Source organism: Homo sapiens, chromosome 8 (genome assembly GCF_000001405.40).
Source record: "Homo sapiens chromosome 8, GRCh38.p14 Primary Assembly".
NCBI lineage: Eukaryota > Metazoa > Chordata > Mammalia > Primates > Hominidae > Homo > Homo sapiens.
In genome coordinates, this window is record NC_000008.11 from 78,924,352 (window position 1) to 78,938,343 (window position 13,992).

At 36.6% G+C, this 13,992-nt stretch overlaps 2 long non-coding RNA genes across 8 annotated transcripts in view; one reads left to right on the plus strand and one right to left on the minus strand.

Moving 5' to 3' along the window:
- The window catches only part of MITA1 (metabolism induced tumor activator 1), a 133,238-nt gene extending 119,880 nt beyond the window's left edge, over positions 1–13,358 (plus strand). For 3 of the 6 annotated variants that reach the window (XR_001745967.2, XR_001745970.2, XR_001745965.2), the window contains 2 exons: positions 9,392–9,542; positions 13,241–13,358. This is a non-coding gene — a long non-coding RNA (metabolism induced tumor activator 1). Of the gene's footprint in view, positions 1–9,391; positions 9,543–10,022; positions 12,371–13,221 lie in introns of those variants that run through there. The other 3 variants (XR_002956715.2, XR_002956717.2, XR_002956716.2) reach the window with 3 other exon arrangements.
- The window catches only part of LOC105375912 (uncharacterized), a 42,502-nt gene that overhangs the window by 20,175 nt on the left and 8,335 nt on the right, over positions 1–13,992 (minus strand). The window contains exons 1-2 of one of the 2 annotated variants that reach the window (XR_007060973.1): positions 13,729–13,903; positions 13,536–13,605 (exon numbers count right to left, since the gene is read on the minus strand). This is a non-coding gene — a long non-coding RNA (uncharacterized LOC105375912). Of the gene's footprint in view, positions 1–13,535; positions 13,606–13,728; positions 13,904–13,992 lie in introns of those variants that run through there. The other variant, XR_929075.3, reaches the window with a different exon arrangement.

Below are 13,992 nucleotides of genomic sequence, written 5' to 3' on the forward strand. Positions count from 1 at the left end.
GGAACTGTAATTGTCTCTTTGAAGAACCTCATGTTTTGCTTAAAGATTTTGTTCATCTCTTCTATCAGTTTTATTTATTTATTATTATTATTGTTATTATTATTATTATTGAGACACTATTATTGAGACAGTATTATTATTATTGGCTCTGTCACCCAGGCTGGTATGATCTCAGCTCACTGCAAACTCTGCCTTCCAGGCTCAGGTGATCCTTCCACCTCAGCCTCCTGAGTAGCTGGGAATACAGGTGCAGGCCGCCACGCCCAGCCAATTTTTGTATTTTCAGTAGAGATGAAGTTTCACCATTTTGCCCAGGCTGATCTGTAACTCCTGGGCTCAAGTGATCCTCCCGCCTCAGCCTTGCAAAGTGCTGGGTATTCGTTCTATTTCAATGGAAGCTATCTGTTTTTGCTTTTACAACTTGATTTTCTTTCCTTATATGAATCAATACCTTAAATAAGTTATATTTGGCTGTCGTTGATGATGATTTGTAGATATTATTCCTCTTAATGTTGTGAGTCATGCTTTTGACTTCTTTCCATGTAGGGAGAATGTAGTTGTTTCTTCCAGGAACAGAAATGATTGCCCTCTGCTGGCACTAGGATTGAACTGCCTAAGCCTCTTGGGGTGTGCTTGCTGCAGTCTTTTCCCTCCCAACTGCTGGAGTGGGAACTCTTCCACTCAGCAGCATATAATCTGCCCCCACCACCCCAGTTTAGTGCTGTCTGTGGGTTTTGGGCTACTCAAAGACAGTAGGCAGCAAGTGGTCAAGAACGTCCTGTTTTGGGACTCCAAAGAATTCTGCTAGCATGTCTTTTTTTGGTTGGTAGGCTATTAATTATTGCCTCAATTTCAGAGCCTGTTGTTGGCCTATTCAGGGATTCAACTTCTCTCTGGTTTAGTCTTGGGAGGGTGTATGTGTCCAGGAATTTATCAATTTCTTCTAGATTTTCTAGTTTATTTGCATAGAGATGTATAGTATTCTCTGATGGTAGTTTGTATTTCTGTGGGATCGGTGGTGATATCCCCTTTATCATTTTTTATTGCATCTATTTGATTCTTCTCTCTTTTCTTCTTTATTAGTCTTGCTAGTGGTCTATCAATTTTGTTTATCTTTTCAAAAAACCATCTCCCGGATTCACTGATTTTTTTGAAGGGATTTGTGTCTCTATCTCCTTCAGTTCTGCTCTGATTTTAGTTATTTCTTGCTTTCTGCTAGCTTTTGAATGTGTTTGCTTTTGCTTCTCTAGTTCTTTTAATTGTGATGTTAGGGTGTCAATTTTAGGTTTTTCTTGCTTTATCTTGTGGGCATTTAGTGCTATAAATTTCCCTCTACACACTGCTTTGAATGTGTCCCAGAGATTCTGGTATGTTTTGTCTTTGTTCTCATTGGTTTCGAAGAACATCTTTATTTCTGCCTTCATTTCGTTATGTACCCAGTAGTCATTCAGGAGCAGGTTGTTCAGTTTCCATGTAGTTGAGCAGTTTTGAGTGAGTTTCTTAATCCTAGTTCTAGTTTGATTGCACTGTGGTCTGAGAGACAGTTTGTTATAATTTCTGTTCTTTTACATTTGCTGAGGAGTGCTTTACTTCCAACTATGTGGTCAATTTTGGAATAAGTGTGATGTGGTGCTGAGAAGAAGGTATATTCTGTTAATTTGGGGTGGAGAGTTCTGTAGATGTCTATTAGGTCCACTTGGTGCAGAGCTGAGTTCAATTCCTGGATATCCTTGTTAACTTTCTGTCTTGTTGATCTGTCTAATGTTGACCGTGGGGTGTTAAAGTCTCCCATTATTATTGTGTGGGAGTCTAAGTCTCTTTGTACGTCTCTAAGGACTTGCTTTATGAATCTGGGTGCTCCTGTATTGGGTGCATATATGTTTAGGATAGTTAGCTCTTCTTGTTGAATGGATCCCTTTACCATTATGTAATGGCCTTCTTTGTCTCTTTTCATCTTTGTTGGTTTAAAGTCTGTTTTATCAGAGACTAGGATTGCAATCCCTGCTTTTTTTTCCTTTCCATTTGCTTGGTAGATCCTCCTCCATCCCTTTATTTTGAGCCTATGTGTGTCTCTGCACGTGAGATGGGTCTCCTGAATACAGCACACTGATGGATCTTGACTCTTTATCCAATTTGCCAGTCTGTGTCTGTTAATTGGAGCATTTAGCTCATTTACATTTAAGGTTAATATTGTTATGTGTGAATTTGATCCTGTCATTATGATGTTAGCTAGTTATTTTGCTGTTTAGTTGATGCAGTTTCTTCCTAGCGTTGATGGTCTTTACAATTTGGCATGTTTTTTCAGTGGCTGGTACTGGTTGTTCCTTTCCATGATTAGTGCTTCCTTCAGGAGCTCTTCTAGGGCAGGCCTGGTAGTGACAAAATCTCTCAGCATTTGCTTGTCTGTAAAGGATTTTATTTCTCCTTCACTTATGAAGCTTAGTTTGGCTGGATATGAAATCATGAGTGAACTCCCATTCACAATTGCTTCAAAGAGAATAAAATACCTAGGAATCCAACTTACAAGGGATGTGAAGGACCTCTTCAAGGAGAACTGCAAACCACTGCTCAACGAAATAAAAGAGGACACAAACAAATGGAACATTCCATGCTCATGGATAGGAAGAATCAATATCGTCAAAATGGCCACACTGCCCAAGGTAATTTATAGATTCAATGCCATTCCCATAAAGCTACCAATGCCTTTCTTCACAGAATTGGAAAAAACTACTTTAAAGTATATATGGAGCCAAAAAAGGGCCTGCATTGCCAAGACAATCCTAAGCCAAAAGAACAAAGCTGGAGGCATCAGGCTACCTGACTTCAAACTATACTGCAAGGCTATAGTAACCAAAACAGCATGGTACTGGTACCAAAACAGAGATATAGACCAATGGAACAGAACAGAGGCCTCAGAAATAATGCCACACATCTACAACAATCTGATCTTTGACAAACCTGACAAAAACAAGAAATGGGGAAAGGATTCCCTATTTAATAAATGGTGCTGGGAAAACCGGCTATCCATGTGTAGAAAGCTGAAACTGGATCCCTTCCTTACACCTTATACAAAAATTAATTCAAGATGGATTAAAGACTTAAACGTAAGACCTAAAACCATAAAAACCCTAGAAGAAAACCTAGGCAATACCATTCAGGACATAGGCATGGGCAAGGACTTCATGTCTAAAATACCAAAAGCAATGGCAATAAAAGCCAAAATTGACAAATGGGATCTAATTCAACTAAAGAGCTTCTGCACAGCAAAAGAAACTACCATCAGAGTGAACAGGCAACCTACAGAATGGGAGAAAAATTTTGCAATCTACTTATCTGACAAAGGGCTAATATCCAGAATCTACAAAGAACACAAACAAATTTACAAGAAAAACAAACAACCCCATCAAAAAGTGGGCAAAGGATATGAACAGACACTTCTCAAAAGAAGACATTTATGCAGCCAAAAAACACATGAAAAAATGCTCATCATCACTGGCCATCAGAGAAATGTAAATCAAAACCACAATGAGATACCATGTCACACCAGTTAGAATGGTGACCATTAAAAAGTCAGGAAACAACAGGTGCTGGAGAGGATGTGGAGAAATAGGAACACTTTTACACTGTTGCTGGGACTGTAAACTAGTTCAACCATTGTGGAAGACAGTGTGGCGATTCCTCAAGAATCTAGAACTAGAAATACCATTTGACCCAGCCATCCCATTACTGGGTATATACCCAAAGGATTATAAATCATGCTGCTATAAAGACACATGCACACGTATGTTTATTGCAGCACTATTCACAATAGCAAAGACTTGGAACCAACCCAAACGTCCATCAGTGATAGACTGGATTAAGAAAATGTGGCACATATACACCATGGAATACTATGCAGCCATAAAAAAGGATGAGTTCATGTCCTTTGCAGGGATATGGATGAAGCTGGAAACCATCATTCTCAGCAAACTATTGCAAGGACAAAAAACCAAACACCGCATGTTCTCACTCATAGGTGGGAATTGAACAATGAGAACACTTGGACACAGGAAGGGGAACATCACACACCAGGGCCTGTCATGGGGTGGGGGAGGGGGGAGGGATAGCATTAGGAGATATACCTAATGTAAATGATGAGTTAATGGGTTCAGCACACCAACATGGCACATGTATACATATGTAACAAACCTGCATGTTGTGCACATGTATCCTAGAACTTAAAGTATAATAAAATGAATAAATAAATAAATAAAAAGAATTCTGCTAGGATGTCACAGTGGAATCCTAGAGAAATAACTGAAAAAGAAAAGATGCCAATTGCAAAAAAAAGTTTTGACATTCAGATTCTGTCTTGAATAAAGATAATTTGCAAAGTTCAGCAAGAATTCTTAACTATAACATCTGTTGATAACTCCAAGTTATATAGATTTCACAAATGTATAAAATACATAAAATTATCATTTAACTGTGCTTCAAACAATTCAACTCTTCAACTTGAAGTAAAATTTTTGTTTCCCGATGTGCAGAAGTAAACCTGGAAAGTTCTTTAAAAAGAGAAGATTTGCATTGAGCTTTAAAGTAATTTTGAAGGAATATTTATAATTTTAGTTATTGCTAGGCATCGTTCAGGAGATCTAGACTAAATGCACCCCATCTATCCGCCACTTATAGTCCCAGAACAAGTCATTTAACCTCAACATGACTTAATATTTCTCCTCTAAAATATATACAATATAAACAGGGTATTGGATAGTTAACTAAATTCACTCAGGAGCTACATACCTTACTCTTGCAATGCAAAACAGTTTAAAAAGTTTTTTTGCCTCCACTTAATCAAAAATCACAAGATTTCATGGACCTTTGGAGTTTTGTTTTTTGAGTAGTGAAAGTCTGGGATGCTAAAGTGGTGAATACCAAGAGTCCATGCTATAATGCTGGTCCATTTTAAATGTTCAGTCTGTGAGTGTACACGTATTTGATGCTAAGCATGGGACCTTAATAAAAATTACTATCAGGTCAATATTGAGCCAAGAAAACATCACAGAAATCCCATAGAAGAGAAACTCAAATTTAGGAAAATCCACCTCAGCCTGCTCTTTTAAAATACTTTATGGAAGATGCTAGGGAGGAACAGAAGCTAGAGTAAGATTTAAATAAATGATAGATTGATAGCTCTAATGCTAGAATTTTTTTTACCAGATATTTCTTTTTCCTTAAAGTTCTCTTTCTATTAGCAGTTTCTATCTGCTTTTGAGTGATTTATTGGAACTACTTTAATTTCCCCCAGCTGTCACAGCTGAGTGAACTAACAGGCCTTTGAGAGGTTAACCACATCCCATTACAATTATTGCTTTTGTATCCAATTAGAGCACCTAGGTCTAGCATGGATATTGGCATAAATTAAAGTAGGTGACAATCATGCACTTAAAAACAGGAGAGATGTGTGTGTGTTTGTGTGTGTGTCTGTGTGTGTGTGTGTTTGGAAATGGGTGGGGTAAAAACTTGCACCCTTATTGAAAATCTTCAAAGAGATTTAGAAAACAATATACTTTTTTTGTTATTCACCTTTTTAAACAAATATATTGATTTTTCACAATTTAATCTGTGGTGAATAAATATTGCTATAAAGCCTCCTGATCTTAATAGTTCTAGCCACAATAGATATTTTCTTCTCAGTAGGGCCATTGGGAAATATGCCTTTGTCAGGTCTTTTCTTCCAATTATATGCTATGGCACATACAGAGAAGATAAAACTTGGCCTCTGACCTCTGCAGTTTTACTATGGGTTGGTTTTCTCATTTCTGCATTGCTGACTTTTGAAATAGAGGCAATGATTTCCTTTGTGACAATCAATATTTTTAAAAAATCAATTTCGTTAATGCCTTTTCATTATTATATTCACCAGCAAAAGACAGTTTATTGCAACTAATCATTTAGAATTGAAGAGACTTTTGTATTCTCTCTACCTTGCTTACACACACCTTCACACATACAATTTTATTCCCAAGATGTTACATCTTTGTTTCCTAACAACTTTATTTTATTCTGAAATAAACTCAGGTAATTGGATCAGGATATTTCTCAGCAGGGCTAAATTTGTTTCTAAATATTGCCAGCTCACTTCCAAATTTTCAATAGGTTGTTGCCACATCTATGCTGAAAACAAAGACAGACTTGGTATTTAATAGAATATTTCTTTGTGTGTGTGTGTGTTTCCCATATCACCAACTCATTTCTTTACCTTGGGATTCTTTCACTCCATGTATACCACCAATTAATCAGCAATTGTGTGCTAAGATACTTCTTTCAGCCCTCCTATAACATACAAAATATGGTAAATATTTCTTGGTAAATGCATAAGTGTTGTGTTGCATGTTGATTCTAGACAGTATTGATTTATATTGAAGTCAGTCTCTTGCTTTATTTACCTTTTCCTTTGACTCAGTCAGCACAGCCTCATGACAATCAGCTGAACAGTGAAAGTTCTCTTTATCTGTTAGTTAGTTTGTTTACACAGGACTAAAATACTATTTTGACTAGTTGTTTTGTCACAGTTAAATGATGTAAGTTTTAGTGGGAATTTAATTTGGGGCAGTAGCATTGAATAAAGAAATTCACTGTTGTGATAAAGACAAAATATTTTAAAAAGAAATATTCAGATCTATATGTTTTGCTATAATTAATAATTAAGACACAAGACAATAGCATTTTTTTGAAACTCACAAAAAAATGTAATTATCGTCTTGCAGTAGAGGCAGTACATGGCATTTAAGTAGAAGACCTGGCATTGCAGTTCAGGCCTGTATCCCACTCCCTGCTCTGTCATAAGTTTGTATGATTTTACTATTTTTTTTAAAAAGAAAAACTGTTTTACTTTTCTTTTGCAAGATAAATTTAAAGAAAATCTACTTTATCAAGTCCCTCTATTTTACATATTGACTCAAGTACATCCTTTATGACTAATAATTTGAAATAAAAATGATTTTTTTAATCTGGGGAGGAGGTAAAGGAACTAATTATGAAATATATATTAAAGTGAATTGATCCAGTGAGCCACTGAATTTGAGGTGATGTTTCTATTTCACTCTGCACTACCTAGACCATATGCTATCAGGAGCCAGTAAGAAGTAGAGAGAGGGCCCTCCTTCTCTTGGCTGGAGAGGCTGCACCTGAACTGATCTTTTTATATAATCAGATAAAACTCTGTTCTTCTCACGGACTCCAAAGTCTTCCATTGTTGGACACATAGTTTTCCAAGCCAACTCTTGCAGCATTGAATTCCAGAATAATTGGAGTTCAATTCTCTTTTCATTCAGAAGGATAAACAACACATATAGTAGACAGGATAACAAAGAGAGGACAGAATTCTTCCACTCAGAGACTCATTATGTGTCCACCAGTGCCTGGGTCCAACTCGTTTTCTGTGGCTGATAGAAGAAATGAGAGGCCTTGATCTTTTGTTGGAAGAGATGGAATCATGAACTATGATTAGGGAATAAAATGAGTAATTGATACCAAAATAGTCTGTTCACCTTATTTCTTAATGTTTGCTATATGATAGACATAATGGTGGTAAGGAAAATACAAAAGAGTCCTTGTTTTTGCTAAGGGAAATTGGGGAGGGTGATATAGAGAAGTGAAAAAGCAACTAGAATGCTAAGAGCCCCAGGATAACTACCAATTGCTATAGTTGTTTTAAAGTCTCTCACAAACTTGCCCCAATCCAGGTTAAAAACAATCACATCCCCCAGTGTTGAAAGCCAGCTACTCTAAATCTTCTTCCTTCCTTAACATTTACTGAGTAATTTGTATGTGCTGGGCGGTGTGATCAATAACCAAATTTTGCCCCTGTATAAGGGAAGTGCTATCACAAGTGTACAGAAGAGAAAATCAAGGCTTGGGGTGGTTGCAATCACACAGTTGGAGGCCTCTGAGCCAGGATTTGAAACCAAGTAGTCTGGCTCCTAAGCTCTTAGTCACTGAATGAAATTGCATGGTGTGTGTGTGGTTGGGAAATAACATTCCTTCTTACATGCGCATGACTTTGAATTTTCACTCGGACATCTTGTGCTGTACATGTCATGGGAGCTCACAATTATGCATTTATTTTAGAGCTATCTTTAGCTGCAGGGCATTTCAAGGTGCCAGTTACTTAAATTCCCTTTTTCTACCAGAGTAACAGAGCGCATTTAATCAGACAGTATTCTAAAGGGAAAGCCTGGCAACTAAGGGCTCCTCTCCCATGATCACTCAGGGTCAGAATTAGACTGGATTAAATACCGACGGATATCTTGCGAATCGGAGGGGTGGAGCGCCATCTCCAATTGCCATATTTGGCTTACATTCCAAACTGAGATGGCAAATTCTATGGATTCCGTTGCATGCTTTACCATACCAAACATGGCGGCTCTTCTCCCTGATCTTCCCTGTTTATTATTCCCCGGAGTTATTACAAAGAGCAGGTTGAAATACCCTTATAATTCCCTGGGCTAATAAAGAAGCACCAGTACTAAAGTATTTCCATTGGCCGCATGATCTCCCTGGAGAAACATAGCACTTCTAGTCTTGCTCCAATGCCACTTTATGTTCCCATTCTACATTTCCTTTCTTGAATGGAAGAGAAGAATGAATGTTAAACAAGAAGGGGGTCAGAGAGAGGAAGAGTTGCATACAAATACAAGGACAGGGATGAAAGGAAAGGGAGGAGACAGGGAATATACCTCCTGAAGAGACACTGAGCCATGTTGCTATGGCATAAACCTCCAGTTAGGTAAACATATTAAAGTGCACTTATATCCATAATTTCTTTCTTAAAAGGGGGAAGCAAAAGATGTTTGGAGAAGGAGAATAGTCAAGAAGATGAAAATAATGACTAATGTTGTTCTTGTTACCTGTTTGCCAGTCTCACTCAAATGAGGATGACTATTTAGAGTAATATTGAATTATAGAAAGCTTTATGTGATTATAAGCCCGAGAAAGAAGCACCCAAACGTACATGTAAAAGGTGGGCTAATGAGAGGCAAAGGGAAGGAAAGATGAAGGAGAGAAGGAAAATAAGGAAATGCCAGTTATTAGTTTAGAATACCCGAATACCACTCTTCTTCTTCTAAAATATTTAATTGTGAAAATAACTTTATTCTTATCTTAGAAATTTGAAAACAATACATTTTGCATTATGTTATAAATCAGAAATGGGAACACTTTATTATTGTTTATCAATTTTGTAGAGGAGAAAAAATTGGGATCATAGCAATAAAAAAATGCTTGCTTTATTTGCTTTTGAAGATAATAAAACATTAATTTATACACTTAAAAATTAATCATTAGGACATTAAACACTATGAAATGAAAATACCAGATTTAACTTATTCTATCTTTAAATTAATTACAGACAACCACAGTTGCTAACAGTATGAGTTCTGCAGTTATACAGAACTAAGTCCATTAGCTGTGTGACCCATGGCCAAATATTTTCCTTCTCTGTGCCTGCATTTCTTCATCTGCAAACTGGAATAATGATAGCAACTACTTCAGAGGACTATGTGAGTATTAAATGAAGTAATCCTTGTGATGAGTTTCTCAGAATGCCTTGCATATGATAAATTCTTAACATGTGTTGGCTTCATCATTATTTTGTTATTTTATTATATATATATTTTTAAATTTTAACAGCTTTATTGAGGTATAATTGATATACAAAGAACTGCACATATTCAGGGTGTATAATTTGATGAATTTGGATGTATGCAAATACCCACACAACCATCACCACTCAAGGTAATAGATGTATGCAACTTCTCCAAGTTTTTTTGTGTCCCTTTGTTTTTGTTTTCTTTCATTTTCCTGGGAAGAACACCTAACAGGAAATCTACCTTCTTAACATATGATCCAGCAATACCACCTCTGGGTATATATTCAAAGGGATTGAAATCAGGATCTCAAAGAGACATCTTCATTCCCATGTTCATTGTAAAATTAGTCACAATAGCCAAGATATGAAAACAACCTGTTTCCATTGACAGATAAATGCATAAAGAAAATGTAGTATACAATGGAATTATTCATCCTTAAAAAAAAGAAAATCCTGCCATTTGAGACAACATGGATGAACCTGAAGGACATTATGCTAAGAGAAAGAAGCCATTCAAGAAGGGTAAATAGTTTATTATTACACTTATGTGAGGTATCTATAATAGTCAAACTCATAGAAGCAGAGAATATAACAGTGGTTGTCAGGGGCAAGTTAAGAGAGGTGAGGAGTTGTTCAATGGTTATAAAGTTTCAATTATGCTACATGAATGAATTCTAGAGATCTACTATACAGCTAAGTGCCTATGGTTAAAAATACTGTATTGTGCTTATCATTATTATTTTGAAGAAAATATTAAAAAGTATATTATGGTCACTTTAAGGTCAACAACAGATAAGCCACCAAAGTAAAGTATCATTTTTAAAAAACCTCAAGAAATAATCGAAGCTATTTCAGCAAGACTTTAAAAATTCATTTCTAACTATGGAAATCTCATGGGATTCAGAGGACTATAATGAAATCCTAATAAAGCTTGTTGTTCTCCATAATTAACCAAATAAAATCAAATCCTTCCTGAAATTTGGTAGCTAGAAAATTATTCTAAGCTTAACTCTATGCTAGGCAGGCCAAGTTATCTCAGAAGTGGTTTTGTAGGCTACAAATTTAATAACCGATATATTCAATAATTTATAAGGCAATGGGCCAAATCTTTGGCAGTGATTTTCTTATTTTCCCACAGCTGAAGTTTCTGGAGAATTGCTCTCATATTAGAAAAAAAATACAGTAAGTGGAACTGCTTATGAAGAATATATTGTTTTTGTCTTTAAACCACTTTATTCAGGTATGATTGACATGTTTAAAAACTGTACCTATTTTATATACAATCTCACAGTGACTTTGGAGATAAGTATAAACCCATGAAATCATCACCACTACCAAGGCCATAGTACACCTGTCATCTCCCAAAGTTTCCTCCCAGCTCCTTTATTATCATTATTGGGATTTTTGTTGTTGTTGTCACTGTTTTTCGATATGGACAATTAACATAAGGTAGATCTTACCCTCTCAGCAAATTTTAAGTATAAAATGGAGTTTTGCTAGCTATAGGCACTACACTGTATAGTAGATTTCCAGAAATTACTTCTCTTACATATAACTGGAACTTTGTACCCTTTAACTACCACCTCCCCAATTCTCCCATTTTCCTAGACCCTGGCAAGCCCCATTCTACTCTATCCCTCTAAGAGTTTGTTTTAGATTCCACACATAAGTGAAATTGTAGAGTATCTGTTTATTTTGTGTCTGGATGACTTCATTTAACAGAATACCCTCCAAGTCCATCCATGTTGTCTCAAATGACATGATTTTCTTTTTTTAAAGGCAGGGTAATATTTCATTGTATGTATATACCACAGTTTATTTTTCCATTAATCTACCTATGAACATTTAGGTTGTTGCTCTATCTTGCCTATTGTGAATAATGTTGCAATGGGCACGGGCTTGCAGATGTCTTTTCAAGGTCCTAATTTCAATTTATTTGGATATATACCCAGAAGAGGGGCTGCTGGATTGTACAGTAGTTCTATTTTTAATTTACTGAGGAATCTCCATACTGTTTTCCATAATTGCTACTCCAATTTCCATTCCCATCAACAGTATACAAGGATTCCCTTTTCTTCACATTCTCTCCAACACTGGTTATTTTTTGTTGTTGTTGTTGTTGTTTTTTTACTAGTAATAGCCATTCTAACAGGCATGAAGTGATATTTCATTGTGGTTTGGGTTTGCATTTTCAGAAAAACAATAGAAAAGATCAATAAAACAGAAGGGTTGGTTTTTTGAGAAGATAAACAAAGTTGACAAATCCTTAGCTGGGCTAAGAAAAAAAGAAGACTCAAGAAAAATTATAAATAAAATAGAATGCAAATGATACTATAGAAATACAAATGATCATAACAGACTATTATGAGCAATCAAATACAAACAAATTGGATAACCTAAAGTAAATGCATATATTTCTAGAAATATACAAGCTACTAAGACTGCACCATGAATAAACAGAGAATCTGAACAGATCCATAATGAGTAAGGATATTTTTTCGGTAATCAAACATCTCCCAACAAAAAGACGCTCAAGACCAGATGGCTTCAGTGGTGAATTCTACCAAACATTTAAAGAGGAATATGTTGTTAATAAATATTTTCTCTTTTTTTGAGTTTTTCTCATCACCAATTCAGGTTCAGTAGTCTCAGACAGGTGATATCTGTCTACACTAGTTTATAATATGGTTTGGCTGTGTCCCCACCCAAATCTCATCTTGAATTGTAACTCCCACAATTCCCACGTGTCATGGGAGGAACTCAGTGGGAGGTGATTAAATTATGGGGGCAGGTCTTTCTTGCACTGTGCTCATGATAGTGAATGAGTCTCATGAGATCTGATGGTTTTAAAATGAGAGTTTCCCTGCACGTTATCTCCCTTGCTGCTGCCGTGTAAGAAGTGCCTTTCACCTTCCACTATGGTTGTGAGGCCTCCCTAGCCACGTGAAACTCTTAAGTCTATTAAACCTCTTTCTTTTGTAAATTTCCCAGTCTTGGGTATATCTTTATCAGCAGTGTGAAAATGGACTAATACAGTCTAGTTCACCAGATAAAGCAGAACCATTAGGAGATACATACTGAGAAATTTGTTACAAGAAATTAGCTTATGGGGAATGCCTAGAAAGTTCCAAAATCCATAAGGTGAGTCATCAGTAAGGGAAGAATGGGACTATTGGGCATAGGTGGAAGCTGTGGTCCACAAGCATAAGTTTATTCTCAGGAATGCCTCAGCTCTGCTTTTAAAGCCTTTCAACTAATTAAATCAGTACCCACCAGATTATCTAGTAAAACCCCCTTTACTAAAAGTCAACTGATTTTAGGATTTAATTACATCTACAAAATAGCTTCATAGCAACATCTAGATTGGTACTTGAATAACTAGAGGATGAGGCCTGGCCAGGTTGACACAGTAAAACCACCACCATAGTCCACCTGTCAGTCTGGCACCCATTAACATTCCTAAAGTCAAACTCTAAATAAAGTGAGTAACAAAGTCATGCATCCACCCAAAATAACACAACTGTCTTGTTTTGTTTTGGTTTGGTTTTGTTTGTTTGTTTTTTGGTTTTTTTTTTTTTTTTGAAACGAAGTCTCACTCTTGTCACCCAGGCTAGAGTGCAATGGCGCAATCTTGGCTCACTGCAACCTCCACTTCCCAGGTTCAAGTGATTCTCCTGCCTCAGTCTCCTGAGTAGCTGATATTACAGGTGCCTGCCACTACACCCAGGTAACTTTTTTTATTTTTAGTAGAGATGGGGTTTTACCGTGTTGGCCAGGCTGGTCTCAAACTCCTGACATCAGGTGATCTGCCCGCCTGGGCCTCCCAAAGTGCTGGGATTACAGGCATGATCCACCGTGCCCAGCCTGCTTTTTTTTTTTTTTCCACAAAAGAACATATACTTACCTTTTTCCCAGAAGAGGACTCCAAATCCTTGGATGATGTTCACTCTCCTCCTTTGATATCCTGTAACTTACTGCAAAATAAAGTTAACAGCCATTTAAGGGAATAAGACAGGGAAGAAACTTTTAAAAAATGGTTAATAAGATATGCAAACATATTCAAAATAAAATAAGGAAGGAATACGTATAACTCTTACAATCCTTGTTTCTGTAACTGGTCATGCTCTTGTAGCTGGTATTTATAACTACTTTCTTCCTGTACTCTTTTGATATTCCCTTTGCCCTCAGCAAGCAGTGCTGCTAGTCATGGTTCTTTGCCTGGTGAATTGAACCAAACTTTCATGCCTGAAGCATTCGTCCACTAGCAGTTCTGCCTGGATTGGGTTGTGGGTATCCATTGATTTGACATGGTTTGGCTCTGTTCCTACCCAAATCTCATCTTGTACTGTAGTTTCCATAAT